The sequence below is a fragment of the Homo sapiens genome, chromosome 17, assembly GCF_000001405.40.
Source record: "Homo sapiens chromosome 17, GRCh38.p14 Primary Assembly".
Lineage (NCBI taxonomy): Eukaryota > Metazoa > Chordata > Mammalia > Primates > Hominidae > Homo > Homo sapiens.
In genome coordinates this window covers 80,017,727-80,037,495 of record NC_000017.11, presented here as the reverse complement: position 1 = coordinate 80,037,495, position 19,769 = coordinate 80,017,727, and the positions used below count along the sequence as shown (strand labels likewise).

The 19,769-nt window shown below is 51.9% G+C and overlaps 2 protein-coding genes and 1 long non-coding RNA gene across 19 annotated transcripts in view, besides 6 other annotated features; 1 reads left to right on the top strand and 2 right to left on the bottom strand.

Annotated features, from left to right (window-relative positions):
* CCDC40 (coiled-coil domain 40 molecular ruler complex subunit) overlaps positions 1 to 854 on the bottom strand; it is a 63,972-nt gene extending 63,118 nt beyond the window's left edge. For all 3 annotated transcript variants that reach the window (NM_017950.4, NM_001243342.2, NM_001330508.2), the window contains exon 1: positions 805 to 854. In NM_017950.4, the coding sequence (NP_060420.2) occupies positions 805 to 833 (29 nt within the window). In that variant the 5' untranslated portion in view covers positions 834 to 854. The remainder of the gene's footprint in view (positions 1 to 804) is intronic.
* Positions 52 to 346: an enhancer, noted in NCBI's record as "tiled region #13982; K562 Activating non-DNase unmatched - State 4:PromP". NCBI's record gives its function as "activates a minimal TATA promoter and a strong SV40 promoter by Sharpr-MPRA in K562 cells {active_cell/tissue: K562}" and the evidence as "EXISTENCE:reporter gene assay evidence [ECO:0000049][PMID:27701403]".
* Positions 1,246 to 1,365: an enhancer, noted in NCBI's record as "active region_12927". NCBI's record gives its function as "activates an Ori minimal core promoter by ATAC-STARR-seq in GM12878 lymphoblastoid cells {active_cell/tissue: GM12878}" and the evidence as "EXISTENCE:reporter gene assay evidence [ECO:0000049][PMID:35858748]".
* Positions 1,556 to 1,625: a silencer, noted in NCBI's record as "silent region_9098". NCBI's record gives its function as "represses an Ori minimal core promoter by ATAC-STARR-seq in GM12878 lymphoblastoid cells {active_cell/tissue: GM12878}" and the evidence as "EXISTENCE:reporter gene assay evidence [ECO:0000049][PMID:35858748]".
* The window catches only part of TBC1D16 (TBC1 domain family member 16), a 103,530-nt gene continuing 85,384 nt past the window's right edge, over positions 1,624 to 19,769 (top strand). For all 15 annotated transcript variants that reach the window (XM_047435346.1, XM_024450577.2, XM_024450579.2 and 12 more), the window contains exon 1: positions 1,624 to 1,701. The gene's annotated coding sequence lies outside the window, so the exon portion shown is untranslated. The remainder of the gene's footprint in view (positions 1,702 to 19,769) is intronic.
* Positions 6,395 to 6,564: an enhancer, noted in NCBI's record as "experimental_47575 CRE fragment used in MPRA reporter constructs". NCBI's record gives its function as "activates a minimal promoter by MPRAs in K562 erythroleukemia cells, with activity observed for both the introgressed and non-introgressed 17:78004816 variant alleles {active_cell/tissue: K562}" and the evidence as "EXISTENCE:reporter gene assay evidence [ECO:0000049][PMID:34662402]".
* Positions 6,963 to 7,832: an enhancer, noted in NCBI's record as "H3K27ac-H3K4me1 hESC enhancer chr17:78003463-78004332 (GRCh37/hg19 assembly coordinates)". NCBI's record gives its function as "activates a minimal SCP1, AML or CMV promoter by ChIP-STARR-seq in naive H9 embryonic stem cells {active_cell/tissue: H9 hESC(naive)}" and the evidence as "EXISTENCE:reporter gene assay evidence [ECO:0000049][PMID:30033119]".
* On the bottom strand, positions 11,392 to 13,596 carry LOC124904072 (uncharacterized). The gene is made up of 2 exons (XR_007065929.1): positions 13,482 to 13,596; positions 11,392 to 11,685 (listed from the first exon to the last, which is right to left on the bottom strand). It is a non-coding gene; the product is annotated as an uncharacterized LOC124904072 (long non-coding RNA).
* Positions 13,727 to 14,592: an enhancer, noted in NCBI's record as "H3K4me1 hESC enhancer chr17:77996703-77997568 (GRCh37/hg19 assembly coordinates)". NCBI's record gives its function as "activates a minimal SCP1, AML or CMV promoter by ChIP-STARR-seq in naive H9 embryonic stem cells {active_cell/tissue: H9 hESC(naive)}" and the evidence as "EXISTENCE:reporter gene assay evidence [ECO:0000049][PMID:30033119]".

The following is a 19,769-nucleotide window of genomic DNA, read 5'->3' as shown; positions in this document are numbered from 1 at the left end:
ATAGTATACCTACCCTTTTACATTTATGCCTATCGTTTTATTAATAATACCTTTAGTCTTTCCATGTCAATACATACAGACCCACCTTTAAAAAAATGAAACAATACCGATGTGTCTAAGGTAAAAAGGCCAAACTCTTTCCAATCGTTTCTATCCTTTTAAACAGAGCCTAAGCGAGCAGAGGCCCGGTGGCAGGGATCTTCACTCAGCCGCCCTCCCTGTGCGCGCTCAGTGCTTCCACCCAGGCCCCAGGACGGTGACCGCGGACTATCGCGGGCCGCCTAACCGCAGGGACCCCTCCCATCGCGGGTCACCCCCAAGCCTGCGAGAGGGGATCTGTCCTTGCAGGAGGGAGGCGCGGGGCCGGGCTGGTCTCCGGCCACAGCGAGTGGCCCCGGAGCAAGGTCAGGGGCGGTATCCAACAGCCCCGCGCCCTGCAGAGCCCTCTACTCTTAGGAGGACTGCGCGCAGGGACCGCCACGCAGAGTGGTTGCCATGGTGACTGCAGAGTGAGCGGTCCCGGGTTTTAGAGGGAGTCGCGCGCTTGGAGTAGGGGAAAGAGGGAGGCCGAGAGAGGACAAAGGGACAGGAGGGGAGAAGTGAGAAGGGTTGGCGGGGGGGTGAGGGGCTGAACGCAGTGGACGGGAAAGGCCAGCAAAATGGCGAGAGAAGGGACACAGGCGAGAGGAAGGGGGAGTGGAGGCGAAGGGGCGAGGCAGGAGCCGACGCGGGGGCCACCTGGAGCGGTGAACGGAGAGCGCGGCCTGGCGACTCCAAGACCCGCTGCCCCTCGGCCCGGCTTACCGGCCCGCCGCGCCGCCCGGTTCCGCCATTTCCCGTTGCTAGGCGACGCTGTCAACATCCGGCCGGGCCGGGACCACGCGCGCTGCGAGGGCGGGGGCCGCCGGGGGCGGCGCGGCCTTTGTGCCATCTCCACGCACGCAGAGGCGCGCGCCGTCTCGACGTGTCGTCCCTTAGACTGTAATGATTAGAGCACGACCATGCTTTTCCTTTATCGCTCTCTGCGCCCGGGTCCCGCCTCGGCTGCGCTCAATTTCTGTAAAGCGACAGCGGCGTCAGCGTGTGCCCAGCGGGCGGCTCGAGGTCCCGAAGGGACCTGCCGGGCACCTGGGGACCCCGGACTGCTAAGCGCCCGGGAATGGCAGGCGGGCTGGGGGCACCGGGGGCCGGGGACCCCGCGCATGGCGAGCGCTTTTCCATCTCCTGCCCTAGGGGGCTCCGGTGCCCTTCTCCAGGGGTCCTACGGAGACTCCTTGCATGGACGCCCGGGGGGTCTTCCGGAGCGTATCTTCCCTTCCTAGTCCGAAATAGGAGAAATCTCCCTGCAGAGGGCGGCAGCGGAGGGCCAGCGCGCACGCGGAGCGTCCGAGGAGCCCTGCCTTTCCTTTGGGGACGCCAGGCTCGGGACGGGGCACAGTCCCCGAGGCCGGGACGCGGCGAGGCCTGAGGGAGGGCCAGCAGGGAACTAGAGGCTTGGGCCCAGGGCTGGGCCAGAAGGTGGGCGGGGAGACCGGCGGGGGCAGGCAGGGGCCGGGCCGGGGGCGGGCCCGGGGGCGGGCCGGGGGCCGGGCCTCCCCGCGCGTCCCCGCCCCGCCGCGCCTCACTGGCGGCGGCAGCGGCGGAGGCGACGGTGGCGGCTCTCGGAGCCGGCGCGAATCCGGCCCCCGCAGCGGGACCCGGGTGGGTATCGGGGCCCGGACGGGGCCGCGGGGGCGGGGTCCGAGGGGTCCACCGCGCAGCGAGCAGCGCCCCCTCGGCGGAGCTGGGGCGGGGGCGCGCGGGGCGCGTGGGGCGCGTGGGCCTGCAGCCGCGGGACCGGGGAGGGGCCGGGGTCCGGCCGCCGTCCTCGGGGTGCGGGGCGCCAGCAGGAGCGGGAGCGTTGTGGGAGGACCTGGATCACGGAGGGGCACCTGGGGACTTTTCCCCGCGGCGAGTGAGGGCGCCCGGGCCCGGAATGGGCCTAATTCGGGGAGACTGGTCCCCGCCTGTCTGGAGCGGTGGACCGGGGAACTTGCGGTCTTTGTCTGGCTGAATCGGCGGAGCAGACGGATGAGAACTTGTGGGGTGCCGGCGCGCGCCCACACAGCCTCCAAAGTGTGCGTCCCCCCAGCAGCGCGCGCTCAGCTTTCCCGGCCTGTCGGGCTTGGTGGTCTGGGCTGTTTAAGATCCGCGTGTCGGGATACTCACTTCCGTTCCGCCTGGGCTCCCTTGTTCTTTCCTTTGGGAAAAAAAAAAAAAGAAAAAGAAAGAAAGAACGAAAGGAAGGAAAGAAAAAAAGGAAAGGCAACTGAAGATTGCTAAACATAACCTAGGGGATCCTGCCGGAAGCCGCTGAATCCTGAAATCCTGTGATTCCCACACTCGGAAGCTGGTGTCGTATATTGGCCACAAAGTAGTTCAGATTTGATTCAGAAATAGGAAATGAATAGAAAAGACATAACAAAAGTTAGTCTCGCCTTATGGTAAAGTTTGTTTTACTGTCTGGGTCAAGTTCAAATGAGAAGCTGGGCTGATTGGCCAGCCTCTGCGACTTGATCCTGAAGATCTGCTTTCTTTTCTACCAGAAGGCTCCTAATTCTTTTATCTGGAATAAAAAGGGAACTCCGTCTTAAAGATGCTCACGTGAGGCGGCATATTGCCAGAGGGTGGGCGCAAAGACTGGGGGCTGGAGATTCCATTCCAAATCTGTTACTGATTGATCAGAACACTTTTTCAAATCCATGCCTCAGTTTTAGAAAATCCTCATTAGAAACGCTAACAGTAAAATTGGTGAATACTAAACACTTTTAAGAACCATGAAAGCTTTTGTAAATAAAGAATAAAGTGAGGAGTAACTTTTGGTATTAACTACAAAGTTCATTAATGGATGTTGTTTGCATCCTGAGCGTGGTTATTGTGCGCATATTTTTTTGTAAGTGGCATGTTTATGGTGAGACTATGGCTAACGAAAGTTTTTATGGCGAAAGTTTTTATGGCTGGGCGCCGTGGCTCACGGCTGTAATCCCAGCACTTTGGGAGGACGAGGCGAGCGGATCACCTGAGGTCAGGAGTTCGAGACCAGCCTGGCCAATATGGTGAAACCCCCCATATCTACTAAAAATACAAAAATTAGCCCGGTGTGGTGGCGTGAGCCTGTAATCCCAGTACTCAGGAGGCTGAGACAGGGGAATCGCTTGAGCTCGGGAGGCGAAGGTTGCAGTGAGCCAAGATGTGCAACTGCACCCCAGCCCGGGTGATAGAGCAACATTCTATGTCTCAAAAAAAAAAAAAAAAAGGAAAAAAAAAGTTTTTATCTGTGGAATTATTTAATCCTCTAGCAATTTTGGTGATTGCGTTAGTAGTTCCTAATTATCATGCATGAATTCACTTAACCCACAAAACAAGCTCATGAAGTCAGGACTGCAGTTATGCCCATTTACAGATGGGAACACTGACGCTTAGAGAAGTAACTTCCCAAGCTCATGCAGTTAGGAGTGACAGAATTAGGCCTTAGGCCCAGGACGTCCCAGCTCCAGAAAACCGTTGTACAACTTTGCCCTCTGTCTTACAGAGGGTGCCCACCATTCATATACAAACATTCTTCCAAGTGGTTCATAACAGTGCAAGGAGGTGGGACTAATCCCATGTCACCACTAGCTGCTAATCTCAGTTCACTTCAGTATGGAAAGCATCCCCCAGGCTTCAGGATAAAGCCATTGAGTTTGCAGAACCTACCTACAATTGCACTGGTCTCTGTCCACAGTTTTGGGTAATAAGGTGCAGTGGTTAAGAACATGGCGTAGAAAGATGGACTGCTGGCTTCAAATACAAATCCTGGACTGGGCATAGTAGCTCACACCTATAATCCTGTATTTTGGGAGAATCACTTGAGCCCAGAAGTTCAAGACCACCTTAGGCAACCTAGAGAGACCCTATCGCTACAAAAAATGAACAAATTAGCTGGACATGCTGGTGGGCACCTATGGTCCCAGCTATTTGGGTGGCTGAGGTGGGAGGATAGCTTGAGCCCGGGAGGTCAGGGCTGCAGTGAGCCATGACCAGCCTCTGCATTCTAGCCTGGGTGACAGAGTGAGACTCTGCTTAAAAAAAAAACCTAAAAAACCCAAACAACAACAACAACAAAACAACAACAAAAACCCCAACTCCTCTGGCACTTAGTTAATTCTCCAGTGCCTTAATTTCCCCATCTATACTACCTACTTCAGAGACTTTGTGCAAGGATTATGAAAAGCATTGAATTCCTGACACATCCTGAGTTACCATTTAGGATGTGGTAAGTAATGTCAAATGGTAACATTTTAACACTGTTATTAATGACCGTTATTTGGATTTTCCACATTTAACTAGATTGACACAAAACATTTTGTTTTTGTGCTTTGACTCCTCACTCCCCTTTGTGTGGTCCATGAGGTGGAAAGTGATTCCAGGCAGATGTAGGATTTACTATTTGTGCGTATGTGTACCCTTATCTTTACAACTTGACCGGGGGCTGGGTCCCTGCAGGATGCTATGGGGAGCAGAGCTGATCAGGTTGCCTGGCAACACCACCTCCTGTGAAAATTTTAGCTCCCCTTCTTCCCTGGCTGAGGGACCCTGATTTTTGTCACAGGCCTAAATTCTCTTGTAAGATTAGCTACTTTGTTTCATCCAGCATTAAGCACCGGGGGCGGGTGGCTCTGGGATGTGAAGGTGACAGCGCAGAGGATGATTTTATGATCGAATTGTACACCATTTGTATTGCATTTGCATTATATTGCTGTTAATGAGGCCAGTGCACAGGAGAGAGCACACATTTGCACCCTTCCCAAAAATATGGGGCAATGATGTTGGAGGCCTTTTTCCGTTCACCTCAGCGGCAGTGTTTTTTATCCTGTTGGCTTTGTTGGTGTTTTTATCCTATCTGTCCTTTGAGCACCTGATGTTGCATCTCTAATAAATCTGCTTTTATGAGCTGTCTGGTGGCATCTGATTTGAAATACGTTCTTTACTCTGTCTTCGGAACTTACATAACCATCCTCAAAGGATGAGAGAAATCGGGCCACTGTAAGACTAAGTTCGATTTCTGCCCGTGGTGGCTTCTGACACATGAATAACAGAAAGAAAAGAGAAATAATCCAAATCCACTGTCCAGTCGGAATGGCCTGCCCTTCTGTTGCTGAGCCTTGGGCGGTGAGTCTGTGCAGGCGTTGGAAGGTGATACATGTGTCTGCTTGCCTGTATGGGCTGCAGACGCTGAGATGTGGCAGTATTTTCTCCGTGGTCTTTCTGGATTGGTCACTATGAAGCCAACGTACTGCGGGTGCCAAGCCCGCATCCATGCTGGCTTGCACACTTCAGTCGTGTACTGCTTTTTGCATGTTGAGTGAGCCTGAATTCAATGCTCCAATATAGTTCATCATTACTCTAGCCTTCTGGAAGTGGGGGAAAGGGTGAACTTTACAGATGTCATTTGACAGCCTTTTGCCTTTTCTGTAACTAAAATGCTTTCCAAAGCAAGATCAGTTGTGTTGCTTTTGGGTGTTGTTAATATGTCCCCCCAGTTTCAGTTTTGTTTTGCGGTGCATTCACTGCTCCTTCACTGACAGATGCTGAGAAGCTTTAGGCCTCCATGTTTACAGGCACAGCATAGAAGTAGGAGGTACCTGAGCCAGACTCAGGGCAGTTTTTGATTTCCTGGCTGGGTCTGCATCTTCCCTTACCCTTTGTGTTTAGTCTTTCCTTAGTCCCAGATCCAGGCTCACCTCTGAGTTGAGTTTCTTCTCCCAGGCCTGACCTCCTTGGCTCTTTGCGGGGGAAATGGGATTTTACAATCTACTATCAAGGGTGCACAAATGGCAGATGGTCTCTCCTTGGAGGCAGAGGCTTTGGGGTTTTCCAGGGAGTGGGTGCTAATCAGGGTGACCGCTGGACAGTTGCAAAAGGAGAGTCACAGCCACACAGGCCACCAGGTTTTCCCTCACCACCGTTTTGGTGATGGTCCTGCCCCGTTATAGCCTCTCAGGGGTCCTCTTTCCCTATGGTCCAAGATCCCAGCACTGCAGTGAATGCCCTAAGCCCTAGTTTCTTCATTTTAAATACAACTTGATGTCCCGTTCTCGCTTCTGCATAGAGGCTCATCTTTGGGCCCCAGGCTTTCCGGGTGTATCCTGAATGTGGCTTCTGTGTGCAGCCAGTATCTTTATTTTCTCAATTCATCCTGTAACTTGAAGTTCAGCGCAGCTGCGAGGAGAAATCACGGCGGCCCCGCAGGGGATTATCCTCCTGATGAGACTGAAGGAGCTACCTTCCCCAAGCCTGCTGCCCGGGGACTGGGTCCTGATCCTGGCTGCCTACAAGATTCCATATCGCCCTTTGACCCGCAAAGCCAGGGGTTCCCAGGAAGATGGGTAGGGCCCCTGCCTGGCTCTGGGCAGGTGGAGGAAGCTGGGGCCTCATCCAAGGCATGCCAGCAGCAGACGTTCTGCAGCGGGGGCAACGCGATCCTTGTTTGCGTGTGTCTGGCTCGTGTTTAATAAGGTGTCGCTGTTTCCCTGTTCTTTGTTGCTTGGGCTTTGAGGGCAAAGCAGATGAACCAGTTTCTGCCGGCCATGTGCCAGGTGACCGGGCTCAGTGCGTGTTGCTCCTGAGCAGTCTGGCAGTGACATGGCCATGGGAATAATCGGTGGTGGGCTGCGTCCCGTGGCCCCCACACCCTGCCTGCCTCTGCCTCTGCCCCTGCCTGTCACTAGTGGGCATGGGCTGCGTCCCTCTGGTGAGTGGGAACTGCCAGCTCCATGGGTTTCCAGGACCAGGTCTGTCCTGCTGACTGCTGCATCCTGGCCCCTAACCCAAGGTGGCCCTGAGGCCGGTGCACGGCACAGAGTGAGCAAGAGAAGAGGCTGGGGTGATACCTCTCTCCTAGTGGCTCCAGGCTACCTCCAGGAGGGTTCTGGAAGAGACTTTTGCACCTCTGTTCTTTTTGTTTTCCTGTTTGGGAACTGATGAAGCCCTTTAGGCCAGGACAGGAAACTAAGACCTTAGGTGGAGGCAGCCTCCACGGGCAGGTCCTGGTCATGAACCTGTAGCCCACCTGTGTCCATTCTCGCTGCCCTCACAGGGACGTCGGGGCCCAGGCGTGCTCCTCTCCTGGGTTCTAGGCCTCGGTCCTCATCCTACTGCTAAAAGAGTAGTCACTCTGCGTGGGGGGTTCACCGTCAGTGGGTGAGCAGGTCAGAGGCCGCCCTGCGAGTTGGAAATCAGCTCCTTACAGTGTCCTCGGTTTGGTGTGGTTGGCAGAAGAATGGCCCCCAAAGATGCCCATGTCCTAATCCAGGGAATTTGTAAATATGGTATGTTACGTGGCCACGGATTCAAGTTGGGGATGGAATTAAGGTTGCTCAGCAGCTGACCTTGAAATGGGGGATGATCCTGGGTTATATGAGTGGGCCTGATGCAATCGCAGGATCAGGCAGGAGAGTCAGGGTCAGAGAGATGAGGTATGAGAAGGACTCGATCGGCCACTGCTGGCCTTGAAGATGCAGGAAGGGGTCGAGAGCAAGGAGTGTGGGTGACCTCTAGAAGCTGGAAAAAGCAAGAAAACAGACTCTCCCTTAGAGCCTCCAGGAGGAACCAGCCCTGCTGATACCTGGTTTTAGCCCTGTGAGACCCATTCCAGATTTCAGACCTCCAGGACTGTAAGGTTATGCATTTGTGTTGTAGCTGGTAAGTTTGTGTCATTTGTCACAGCAGCCGTAGGAAGCTCATACGCGTGGAATGAGGGCTTTCAAAAGGAGACAAGAGGGGAGACGGTTGTGTCATTTCTTTATCTGTGTTTGCTCATTTCTGGTTTTCTGGTGACTTTGCCACTTTCTACATTGAGGAGGACTCTCTTTTCTAGGGTATAAGTCACCAAATCTTGGGCAGTGAATTTTGGGTAGTAGATGTCCTAACCTCATGCCCTGTGAATATTTGCTAGAGAAGACCCACCCCCACTGCTCACACAGTGAGTCACCAAATCTTTGGCTGTTCCAGGCCAAGTTTCAGTGGCCAAGTGGCTCCTAGGGGACGGGAAGGGAACATGTGTGGTTAACAGCAGGCTCACAGCTGCGCCCTGTGTCAGCTCCAACCCAACAGCCTGGCCAGTTCCCAACAGCATTGTGAAAGAATAGATCTGCTGCCCCTCTCCTCCCCTGCCCGCCCCTCTCTCCTTAGGGCTTCTGAGGTTTCCCACGTCTTCACCTTGCAGGCAGCTCCCCCTACTCCAGCCCCCTCAAAGCGCTCTCGTCCTGGAAGCAGACTTCAGCTACCTTTATCACCAGTTTAACACCCCTGCCAGCTGCAGGTGCTGCGACTCCATGCTTCTCAATGGTGCTCTAATTCTTAAAGAGTTGCAGGTTTCTGGGAAAGAATGACTCTCTGGTGGAGGAGTTTCTGCACAGTTTTTTGTTTTATGAGCCTGTGTATTTTTGTTGAGGAATGGCCAAGTTGTTCTTTCCTTTCGAATTACACAATGGCCTATTTTGCAGAAATCTGGCCCTACCTACTGGTCACCAATGGCTTTGAGCAGCACAGAAATCAACTGGTCGGCTCGGGGCGGTGGCTCACGCGTGTAATCCCGGCGCTTTGGGAGGTCGAGGTAGGCGGATCACGAGGTCAGGAGATTGAAACCATCTTGGCCCACATGGTGAAACCCCGTCTATACTAAAAAAAATACAAAAGTTAGCTGGGTGTGGTGGCGCGCGCCTGTAATTCCAGCTACTCTGGAGAATTGCTTGAACCCAGGAGGCGGAGATTGCAGTGACCTTAGATTGCGCCACTGCACTCCAGCCTGGGCGACAGAGCGAGACTCTGTCTCAAAAAAAAAAAAAATCAACTGGTCATCATGCCCCGGTCTGATGGTTTAGAATCAGCATTGACGCTTTTACTTTTTGCCTTCTAAAATCATTCTTTTTTTTCTTTTTCTTTTTTGAGATAGAGTCTCGCTCTGTCACCCAGGCTGGAGTGCAATGGTGCCATCTTGGCTCACTGTAACCTCTGCCTCCTGGGTTCAAGCGATTCTCCTGCCTCAGCCTCCCGAGCAACTGTGATTACAGGTGTGTGCTACCATGCTCAGCTAATTTTTGTATTTCTAATAGACAGGGTGTTACCATGTTGGCCAGGCTGGTCATGAACTCCCGACTTCAGGTGATGCAACTGCCTCGGCCTTCCAGAGTGCTGGGATTACAGGCGTGAGCCACTGCGCCCGGCTATTCTTTTTTTCTTTTCTTTTTTTTGTACACTCAAGCTGATGCAAATTGTAGATCTTGGCTTCAATCCATCTGTGAATTCTTTGTGCCAACTGCCAAGTTGGCATTGCTATCCTTTCCATCAACAAAAACAAGGCATTTGGAACCTTAACGAAGATGGCATTCTGGGAGGCACATTATAAAAGGAGCGTCTCGGAGGTGTCATGCACTCGGGAGCTTATTATTGAAAACACAAACCAACAAGGACATCACCGTTTCAAAATACAAATGTGAAGTGGATGCATTTGAGGAGAATGGGGGGTTCTTATTGTCAAGGATCTACCCTTAGCTGCTTCTCTTTTTTTTTTTTTTTTTTTTTTGAGTTGGAGTCTTGCCGTGTTGCCCAGGCTGGAGTGCAGTGGTGCGATCTCAGCTCACTGCAACCTCTGCCTCCCGGGTTCAAGCAATTCTCCCGCCTCAGCCTCCCAAGTAGCTGGGATTACAGGCGCCTGCCACCATGCCCAGCTAGTTTTTGTATTTCTAGTAGAGACGGGGTTTCGCCATGTTGGCCAGGCTGGTCTCAAACTCCTGACCTCAAGCGATCTGCCGCCTCAGCCTCCCAAAGTGCTGGGATTACAGGCATGAGCTACTGCACCCGGCCTCTTTTTTTTTTTGAGACAGGGTCTTGCTCTGTCACCCAGGCTGCAGTGCAGTGGCGCAAGTACAGCTCATTGCAGCCTCAACTCCCAGGGTCGAGCGATCCTCCCACCTCAGCCTCCTGAGTAGCTGAGACTATAGGCACAGGCCACCAAGCCTGGCTAATTTTTAAAGTTTTTTTGTAGAGACAAGGTTTCTCCATGTCCCCCAGGCTGATCTCGAACTCCTGGGCTCAAGCGATTCTCTTGACTCAGCCTTCTGAGTATCTGGGACTATAGGCACATGCCACCATGCCCAGCTAATTTTTGCTTTTTTGTAGAGACGGGGTTTCACCATGTTGCCCAAGCTGGTCTCAAACTCCTGGACTCAGGCGATCCGCCCACCTCGGACTCCCGAAACTGTTAGGATTGCAGACATGAGCTACCGTGCCCAGCCTCCTCAGCTTCTCTATCCATCTTCATCTCTCAGGATTTGGGGAGGGGATTTGTAATAATTGCCACAAGGTGCTTTGAGCATCTTGCATTGCTATTTTGATTTTGATGAACTCTGAGTCCTTCCTATAGATTGGAAAAGCCTGGTGTCTGTTCTTTGCTGCAGGCCTGTCTCAGCTCCCTTTCCAGTGTTCACTCATTTTGTGTCTTAGGAGTTCTGCTGGCTGCCCCCGCCTCTGTTCGTGTACTGATGAGAAGGCATCTGGCCCCTAGGAAGAGCCCCAGGCCCGCAGAAGGGAACCTGGATGTCCCCCTTGCTCTGAGTTCCATACTGGGGCAGCCTTCCTGACATCCAGCTTCCTTGCCTCCCAGGACGAATGGTTTTCTTTGCCCCCCTCAAACCCCGCAGGACTCCAGGTCCCTAAGGTCATGGGCATCAACTGCTCCACACTGCTGTGGGCAAGGGCCATTCAAAGTCTTGCATCTTGCAGATTCAAGGACATTAGGAAACTCTCCCATCAGACAACTTGGGCTGCCGGCAGCTGGGTTCTCAGTCCAGGAACCAAACGTTGTCTTTGACTCTGCTCTGTTCAGCCTGCCTCTAGTGCCTGCCTGTTCTCGGCATTGGTCCACACAACTCCACCCTCGTCCACGCCTCCTCCACACCTCTTTGGATGCAAGCTTCCTGATCTCAAGCCTCTTTTTATTTTAAACTAATAGATTCCCCCCTCCCCCAGAAGATGATGTTTGTTTGTTTTGGAGAGAGAGTCTCCCTCTGTCACCCAGGCTGGAGTGCAGTGGCACAATCTTGGCTCACTGCCACCTCTGCCTCCCGGGTTCAAGTGATTCTCGTGCCTCAGCCTCCTGAGTAGCTGGGATTACAGGCGTGCGCCACCATGCCTGGCTAATTTTTGTATTTTTAAATTAGCGATGGGGTTTTGCCATATTGACCAGGCTGGTCGTGAACTCTTGACCTCAGGTGATCCACCCGCCTTGGCCTCCCTAAGTGCTAGGATTACTGGCGTGAGCCACCATGCCCGGCCGCCCCTTTCTTTTTAGTATTAAATAATCCTCCATTATTTAGGTGTATCACAGTTTATTTATTTATTCAGCTGTTGGAGAACATCTCGGTTGCTTCTGAGTGTTGGCAGTTATGAGTAAAGCTGCTCTCAACATCCGTGTGCAGTTTCTGCGTGGCGGACTTCATTGTTTAGAGCAGTTTTAGGTTTACAGAAAAATGAGCAGAAGGTACAGAGTGCTGTATGTGAGGAGATAGGGGGCGGGGGGCCACTGCTTCCCTGTGGGGCTTCCTGTCTCATGGATTGAGAGTCCTTAAGGAGGCCTGGACGCCATTCTCTGTACCTCTGTTCCTGCTGTGTGAAGAAGGAACCGTGTGACACCGACAGGTGAACCTTCCAGGGTCCCTGGGTCTTAGGGACACAACCAAGGGACAGAAGTGGACCAGAAGTCACTGCCCTGGGCAAGCTCCTGGCCATTAGGCAGCAGTGTCTCCCTGGCACTCTAGCAGGAGGGTGCTCCTGGGTGGGGGTGGGGGGCTCCTGGCAGGGGGGTGCTTCCAGCAAGGAGGTGCTCCCAGCAGGCGGCTGCTCCCAGCAGGCGGGCCCCGAAGCCCAGGTGCCAGGACTGCTGCAAAACTCTCCAGGGCTCTCCGGGGGCATTTGCCAGGCCCCTTATTCAGCCCTCAGAGCCTAGGCGCCCCCTCCTCCAGCTCACAGAGCCTGCACTTCCTGCCGCCCGGTGACAGGTGGCTGACTTGTGTTTATGGACCCAAGACAGACCAGCATGGGGGCTGGGTAGGGAGGCTCCTGCGGCCCCGGATCCGCCTGGGGCTTCCCTAATCCTGGAGACAGCTGGGAAGGAGTGGGGCCCAGGCAGCCTCTGGCGTGTCAACACTGGCGCTGTCGGAGAACAGAGGCAAAGCTGGTAGAGCAGAGGGTGGCTGTGTGTGGTGTGTGTCATGGGGTGCGTGTGTGTCATGGTATGTGTGTGTCTATGGTGTGTGTGTCCTGGTGTGTTTGTGTGTGCCTATGGTGTGTGTGTGTCTGTGGTGTTTGTGTGTATATGGTGTGTGTGTGTCATGGTATGTGTGTGTGTGTCATAGTGTGTGTGCCTGGTTGTGTCATGGTATGTGTGCATCTGTGGTGTGTGTGTGTGTCTATGGTGTGTGTGTAGAGTGTGGTGTGTGCCTACGGGGTTGTGTGTGTGGTGTGTCTATGGTGTGTGTGGTGTGTGTGTCTATGGTGTGTGGTGTGTGTGTGATGTTTATGCAGTGTGCCTATGGTATGTGGTGTGTGATGTATGTATCTGTGGTGTGTGTCTACGGTGTGTATGTAGTGCGTGTGTCTATGGTGTATGTGCCTATGGTTTGTAGTGTGTGGTAGGTATGTGTGTCTATGGTGTGTATGTAGTGTGTGTGTCTTGGTGTCTGGTGTATGTGTGGTGTGACTATGGTGTGTCGTGTGTGGCATGTGTGTCTATGGCATGTGTGTCTGTGTGTCTATGGTGTGTATGTCTATGGTGTGTGTGGTGTGTGTGCTTATGGTGTGTGGTGTGTGTGTCTATGGTGTGTGGTGTGTGGTGTGTGTGCCTATGGTGTGTCGTGTGTGGTGTGTGTGTATATGGTGTGTGGTGTGTGCATGGTGTGCGTGGTTTGTCTATGGTGCGTGTGGTGTGTGTCTATGGTGTGTGGTGTGTGTGTCTATGGTGTGTGTGGTGTGTGTGTCTATGATGTGTAGTGTGTGTGTCTATGGTGTGTGTGGTATGTGTGTCTATGGTGTATGGTGTGTGTGTCTGTGGTGTGTGTTGTGTGTGGTATGGTGTGTGGTGTGTGGTATGTGTGTCTATGGTGTGCGTGGTGTGGGGTCTATGGTGTGTGTGCTTCTCGGCCTCTGACTCCTCCGGGGTGGGAGCAGCAGGCATGGGGTTTGGGATCTCCAAGGGGCTGGGGTCCGTGGGGCGTGCCCCGCTGCAGTCCTGCCTGGTGGGCTGAAGTGGGGCCTCTGGTTGGGGCCGGGGCTGCGGGTAGGGCCGGGCAGGACCGTCTGGCCCGGAGCTGCGCTTTGTCGCGGAAAGCCAAAAGCCGCTTCTGCTTAGCCGGCCGGCGAGGGATTTGGGCCCCGCCCGCACTCGCCGAGGGCTGCGTCCTTACCTTCTGCGCTTGGTCCTCCAACCTCGTCCTGGAGGGGCCTGGGAGCCCTGTCCGCCGGAGCTCTTTCCTCCCGCTCTTCTGACAGGATCGGGTTAAACTCAGATTTCTCTTCTCTGGCTGGAGGGCTCCGTGGAGCTGCAGAATGAGGGCGCTGCCAAGGTGGATTTTGGACCCTGAATGGAAATTCACACCAGGGCTGGAGGCGCCAGCTGGGCCTGGGAGGTGGGAGATGAGGGCGGCCTGACACAACCCGCTGTGACTGTGGCCGGGGTGGTGGGAGGGAAGCCCACAGCGGGGCCAGGCGGGCCACCGAGGAGCAGGGCCACCCCAGCCACGCCCTGAGCCGGTGGGGGGGGGCCCGGCAGCAGTTCTCGCTCCTGGCCTGCACCGAGGTGAGGAATGCCTGGAAGGGTCCCTGGGTGTGCACAGCCTGGACCAGTGGGCTGTGCGCTCTAAGTGGCACTGAGCGTCTCTTTCAGCAGTGGCCACACGAAGCAGGATTGAGATTCGGGGAAGAAGTGGCCGCAGGGGCTGTGGGCCTCCGCAGGGAAGGGTCTCTGACGAGCTTGCCCTGGGCTCATGGGGAACTGTGGCTTCATGCTGGGACTGCGGGGCGGAAGGAGGGCATGGAGGGCTGTGGCTGCCCGGGTACTGTCCCATGGTAGCCTCCGAGCAGCTGTCGCTGGAGCCCGTTCGCAATACCCCTGGAGGGCCGCCTGCCCATAAAGGGGAGGGGAGCAGCTGGGCTTGATCTTTGGAAGGGACATCTGGTGAATTTCTGAAAACGTATTTTATTGCAGGTGCTTTCAGCAGGGTGGAGGGGGTGGCCTGGGGAGGAAGTTAAAATGACCCCGCCTGTCCCATTTCGCGGTAAATCTTGCCTGTGATGAGCCATTACTCTCACCAGAGCGTGTGATAGTATGAGAACCGTGGATCTCACACACGTGTTTGTCACATGTGCAGCGTTGCGGCAGCTGAGAGGGTGTGGACCATGAGGTGGGCCAAACCACATAGGCCTCCGGGTCACGGCCAAGGCACCTCTTAAAATTGTCCATAAAGTTTTATATAATAAATGTCCCCGGCCAGTCATGGTGGCTCACGCCTGTAATCCCAGCACTTTGGGAGGTTGAGGCGGGCGGATCACCTGAGGTCAGGAGTTTGACACCAGCCTGGCCAACATGGCAAAACCGTCTCTACTAAAAATACAAAAATTAGCCAGGTGTAATGGCAGGTGCCTGTAATCCTAGCTACATGGGAGGCTGAGGCAGGAGAATTGCTTGAACCTGGGAGGCGGAGGTTGCAGTGAGCCAAGATTGTGCCATTTCACTCCAGCCTGGGCGACAGTGTGAGACTCCACCTCAAAAAAATAAAAACAGGGCCGGACGTGGTGGCTCACGCCTGTAATCCCAGCACTTTTGGAGGCCAAGGCAGGTGGATCACCTGAGGGCAGGAGTTCGAGACCAGCCTGGCCAACGTGGTGAACTCTGGTGTCTACTAAAAAAATACAAAAATTAGCCAGGCGTGGTGGTGGGCACCTGTAATCCCAGCTACTCGGGAGTCTGAGGCAGGAGAATCACTTGAACCTGGCAGGAAGAGGTTGCAGTGAGCCAAGATAGCACCACTGCACTCCACTAGCCTGGGCAACAAGAGAGAAACTCTGTCTCTAAATAAATAAATAAATAAAAATAAACGTCCCAGCTTTATTAATTTATCATAGATTTCAGTGTTTTTGTCAGATAACTGAGTAAGCAATAAAAACAGGGCCTAGCAATAAAAACAACATAAACACTCAATGAACTGCTCGATACTTTAGTTAACATGTGAGTCCCTTTCAGGTAAATATATGCTTTGAATTAGGCTTTTGAAACATTAAAAGTAGTTCATTGAACATAGAAGAAAATATAGACCAATGTTTAACGATCTTTAGCTTGGAAAGGATTATATTAAGTATAAAAGTAATAAAGGAAGTTACTAAGAAAAAGTTACCATCAATTTACATAAAAGTTTTAAACCTCCGTATGTCAAAATAGGTAATATAAATAAAAGGCAAACAACAAATTAGGAGAAATACATGTGTGTCATGGTATGTGTTTGTGTGTGTCATGGTGTGTGTCATGGTGTGTGTTTGTGTGTCATGGTGTGTGTGTGTCATAGTGTGTGTGCCTGGGTGTGTCATGGTATGTGTGCATCTGTGGTGGATGTGTGTGTCTATGGTGTGTGTGTAGAGTGTGGTGTGTGCCTATGGGGTTGTGTGTGTGATGTGTCTATGGTGTGTGCAGTGTGTGTGTCTGTGGTGTGTGGTGTGTGTGTCTGTGATGTTTATGCAGTGTGCCTATGGTGTGTGCCTATGGTATGTGGTGCGTGATGTATGTATCTATGGTGTGTGTCTATGGTGTGTATGTAGTGATCTTTACTATATAAAGAGTTCTTACATATCAATGAAAATTCCATCTCAGCTTAATCTCTGTATTAAAAATAATAAGAATTCCACCACGCCAGCAGAAAAATTGTCAAAGCACACCAACAGATAATTCACAAGTGAACACAAATGTCTAATAAATATAGGATAATCTGTCACCCAGGGTGGGGTGCAGTGGTGCAATCATGGCTCAATGCAGCCTCGACGTCCTGGGCTCAAGTGATCCACCTTAGCCTCCCGAGTAGCTGGGATTACAGGCACACACCACCACCCCCAGCTAATTTTTTAGAAGTGGGATCTTGTTATGTTGCCCAGGCTGGTTTGTTTGTTTGTTTTTGTTTTTTGAGATGGAGTTTCACTCTTGTTTCCAGGCTGGAGTGCAATGGCACGATCTCGGCTCACTGCAACCTCCACCACCTGAGTTCAAGCGATTCTCATGCTTCAGCCTCCCGAGTAGCTGGGATTACAGGCATGCACCACCATGCCTGTCTAATTTTGTATTTTTAGTAGACACGGGGTTTCTCCATGTTGGTCAGGCTGGTGTCGAACTCCCGACCTCAGGTGATCCACCCGCCTTGGCCTCCCAAAGTGCTGGGATTACAGGCGTGAGCCACCGTGCCCGGCCCTGCCCAGGCTGGTTTTGAGCTCCTGGGCTTGAGCAATCCTCCCACGTCAGCCTCCCAAATTGTTGGAATTACAAGTGTGAACCACTGTGCCCAGTCAGAAAACCATTTTTCAGTTCCCAGCCTGGTGGAGATTTAAATCCCTGGCAGCACTCTTACATTTCGGGGAACCCACTGGGCAATACGAGTTGGGGTCCAGTTTATCCTCCTGGGGAAACAGTAATCCTGGAAATAATGAGGATACAGATGAAGATTTATGTATTAAAATGTGGAGTTTATTATTTCAGTAGCCACTAGTTGGAAGCCAGATGCCTAGCAATGGCGGCTGATTCTATGAAGATGGAGGGTTGGCATTTATAATTTTTATTTTTATTTATTTATTTGTTTTGAGATGGAGTCTCGCTCTGTCTCCCAGGCTGGAGTGCAGTGGCGCCATCTCAGCTCACTGCAACCTCCACCTCCTGAGTACAAGCAGTTCTCCTGCCTCAGCCTCCTGAGTAGCTGGGACTACAGGCACCCGCCCCTACGCTTGGCTAATTTTTGTATTTTTTAGTAGAGACAGGATTTCACCATGTTGGCCAGGCTGGTCTTGAACTCCTGATCTCAGGTGATCCGCCCGCCTCAGTCTTCCAAAGTGCTGGGATTACAGGCGTGAGCCACCACACCTGGCCTTATACTTTTTAAATGTGTTAATAATGTGGTATATTTGTTTGCTAGGGCTGCCCTAACAAAGTACCAGGGTCCAGGTGGCTTGAGCAATAGAAATCTCTCTGACAGCCCTGGAGGCAGGAAGTCTAAGATCAAGGTGTCGGCAGGATTGTTTCCTTAGGAGGCTGTGAGGGAGGGGCTGCTCCAGGCCTGCTCCTTGCTGGTAGGTGGCATCATTGTATTCACACAGCACTCTCCTTGTATATAGGCACCTGCTACCAACTTCCTCTTTTTATAAAGACACCAGTCATATTGACCTCAAGGTAACTTGATCACCTCTATAAAGATGCTGTCTTCAAAAACAGTTTCATTCTTGGGTACTGGGGTTTAAGACTTCAACACAGGAATTTTAGGGGATGTACTTCAACCCTAAAGTTTGTTATATCATAAGTATACTTCACCTGGGAAAATATATTTATGATCCAACTGAAAGCAAGATATGATATAATTCCAAGGAGTGGGTTTTTCATTAACTCATTCATTATAGGGCACAAAATATAGTAGAGAATACATAAATGTCTTAGGATTATGTGATTTAAGGGACACGTATTCTTCCTTTTCCTTCTCTGAGTGTGTTTCATAACTAAAAAAAAGTTTTAAAAAATGGGCCAAGGATTCTCCACTTCTAGTTTGCTGGTGACCAGAGGTTGGGAACTAGGTTGGATTTCGATGAAATAGCCTCTTGCGAAACAGCAAATGCACTTTACAAATAAGGAGAATTGTTTTTAGAGAGCAAACAGTCCTGTCTAATGTTTAATAGACATGCTCCATTTCTCCAAAAAGAGCCCAGTCTCTCCAGAACAATCTGGGAGGGGCGGGGGGGGGTTGTCCTGGTGTCCCAGGTGGCGGGTGATGGAGGAGCCGGAGTTCTGCACGTGGGGGACGAAGGTCTCACGCTGCAGGGTTTCCCGCTCACGAAATGACCCTGAGTGGTCAGAACCTGTCTTCTCCTCCGTAAAGCTGCACTGTTGGGACGCACCTCGCAGAGCCACAGTGAGGTTCTGCCTGTCATGGTATGGGAGAAAATGCTGTATTTTGAACACTTGTATTTCGGAATCTCCTTTAAAGCTTCCAGCACATTCTTTTGATTATCCTCAGTGCTGGCAAAACATTTTCACTTAAAGAGGGTTTTGATTTGGGGAAGCAGCTGAGAGCTGTGTGCAGCCAGCTCTGGCAACTGGAGCGATCACACTGAGTAGAGCCATTTGAAACACAGAAGGAGGTGGGCTCCAGCCCCGCTGCGGCCTTGTCCAGTGTGGACACCGCGCAGGCTACAGAGCACCCAAAACGTGGCTGAGCAGAACTTTGACGTGCTTAAGTGCAAAATGCACAGCAGACTTTGGAGACTTTAAGGACATAAAATAGGCCAGGTGCGGTGGCTCCCGCCTGTAATCCTAACACTTTGGAAGGCTGAGGCAGGAGGATCACTTGAGGCCAGAAGTTCAAGACCAGCCTGGGCAAAAAAGTGAAACCTCATCTCTACAAAAAATAAAAAAATTAGCGGGACCTGGTGGCATGTGCCTTTAGTCCAGGCTATTTGGGAGACTGGGCAGGAGGATTCCTTGAGCCCAGGAGTTTCAGAATACAGTGAGCTGTGATCACACCACTGCACTCTAGCCTGGGTGACAACCTGTCTCTAAAAAAAAAAAAAGAATGTAAAAGATTTCATTAATAATTTTTTCAGGCTGGGCACGGTGGCTCACGCCTGTAATCCCAGCACTTTGGGAGGCCGAGGCAGGCGGATCACGAGGTCAGGAGATCGAGACCATCCTGGCTAACATGGTGAAACCCCATCTCTACTAAAAATACAAAAAAATTAGCCGGGCATGGTGGCGGGCGCCTGTAGTCCCAGCTACTCGGGAGGCTGAAGCAGGAGAATGGCGTGAACCTGGGAGGCGGAGCTTGCAGTGAGCCGAGATTGCACCGTTGCACTCCAGCCTGGGCTACAGAGTGAGACTCCGTCTCAAAAAATAAAAAAAAAATAAAGAAATAATGTTTTCATATTGACTATATGCTGAAATAATAATATTTTGGATATATTATGCTAAAAATTATTAAAATTAATTTCACTTTTTTTTTTTTTTTTGCTTACCAGAAAATTTAAAATTGTATCTATGTCTCCTGCAGTGTTTCTGTTGGACATGGCTGGTCTAGAGGACGGCGAGCAATTTTCTTGCAGGGCTTATTAACTGACCTTGCAATTCTTGAAGAATTCTTGAATTCTTAAACTATTCTGGATAACATTAGAACAGAACATAGCTTTTCCATGTGATTATTGGGAAGGACAATATGTTTTTTGATTTGTAGTTTGCAGTGTGATTTTTTTAATTAAGTTTCGTCACTTGGTTGTCATATGCCCCTGTGTGGGATGAAGTGTTTAGGCCAAGAGTGGCCAGAAGGCTTCCTGGAGAGGTTGGCAGAGAGCTGGTTTGGATAGGTGGAGAAGAATCCCCTGGATTTGGTCAGATGGTCTATGCCAGGGCACTGCCATCTGCAACCCACAGGCCAAAGCCAGCCTTCCACCTGTTTTGTACAGCC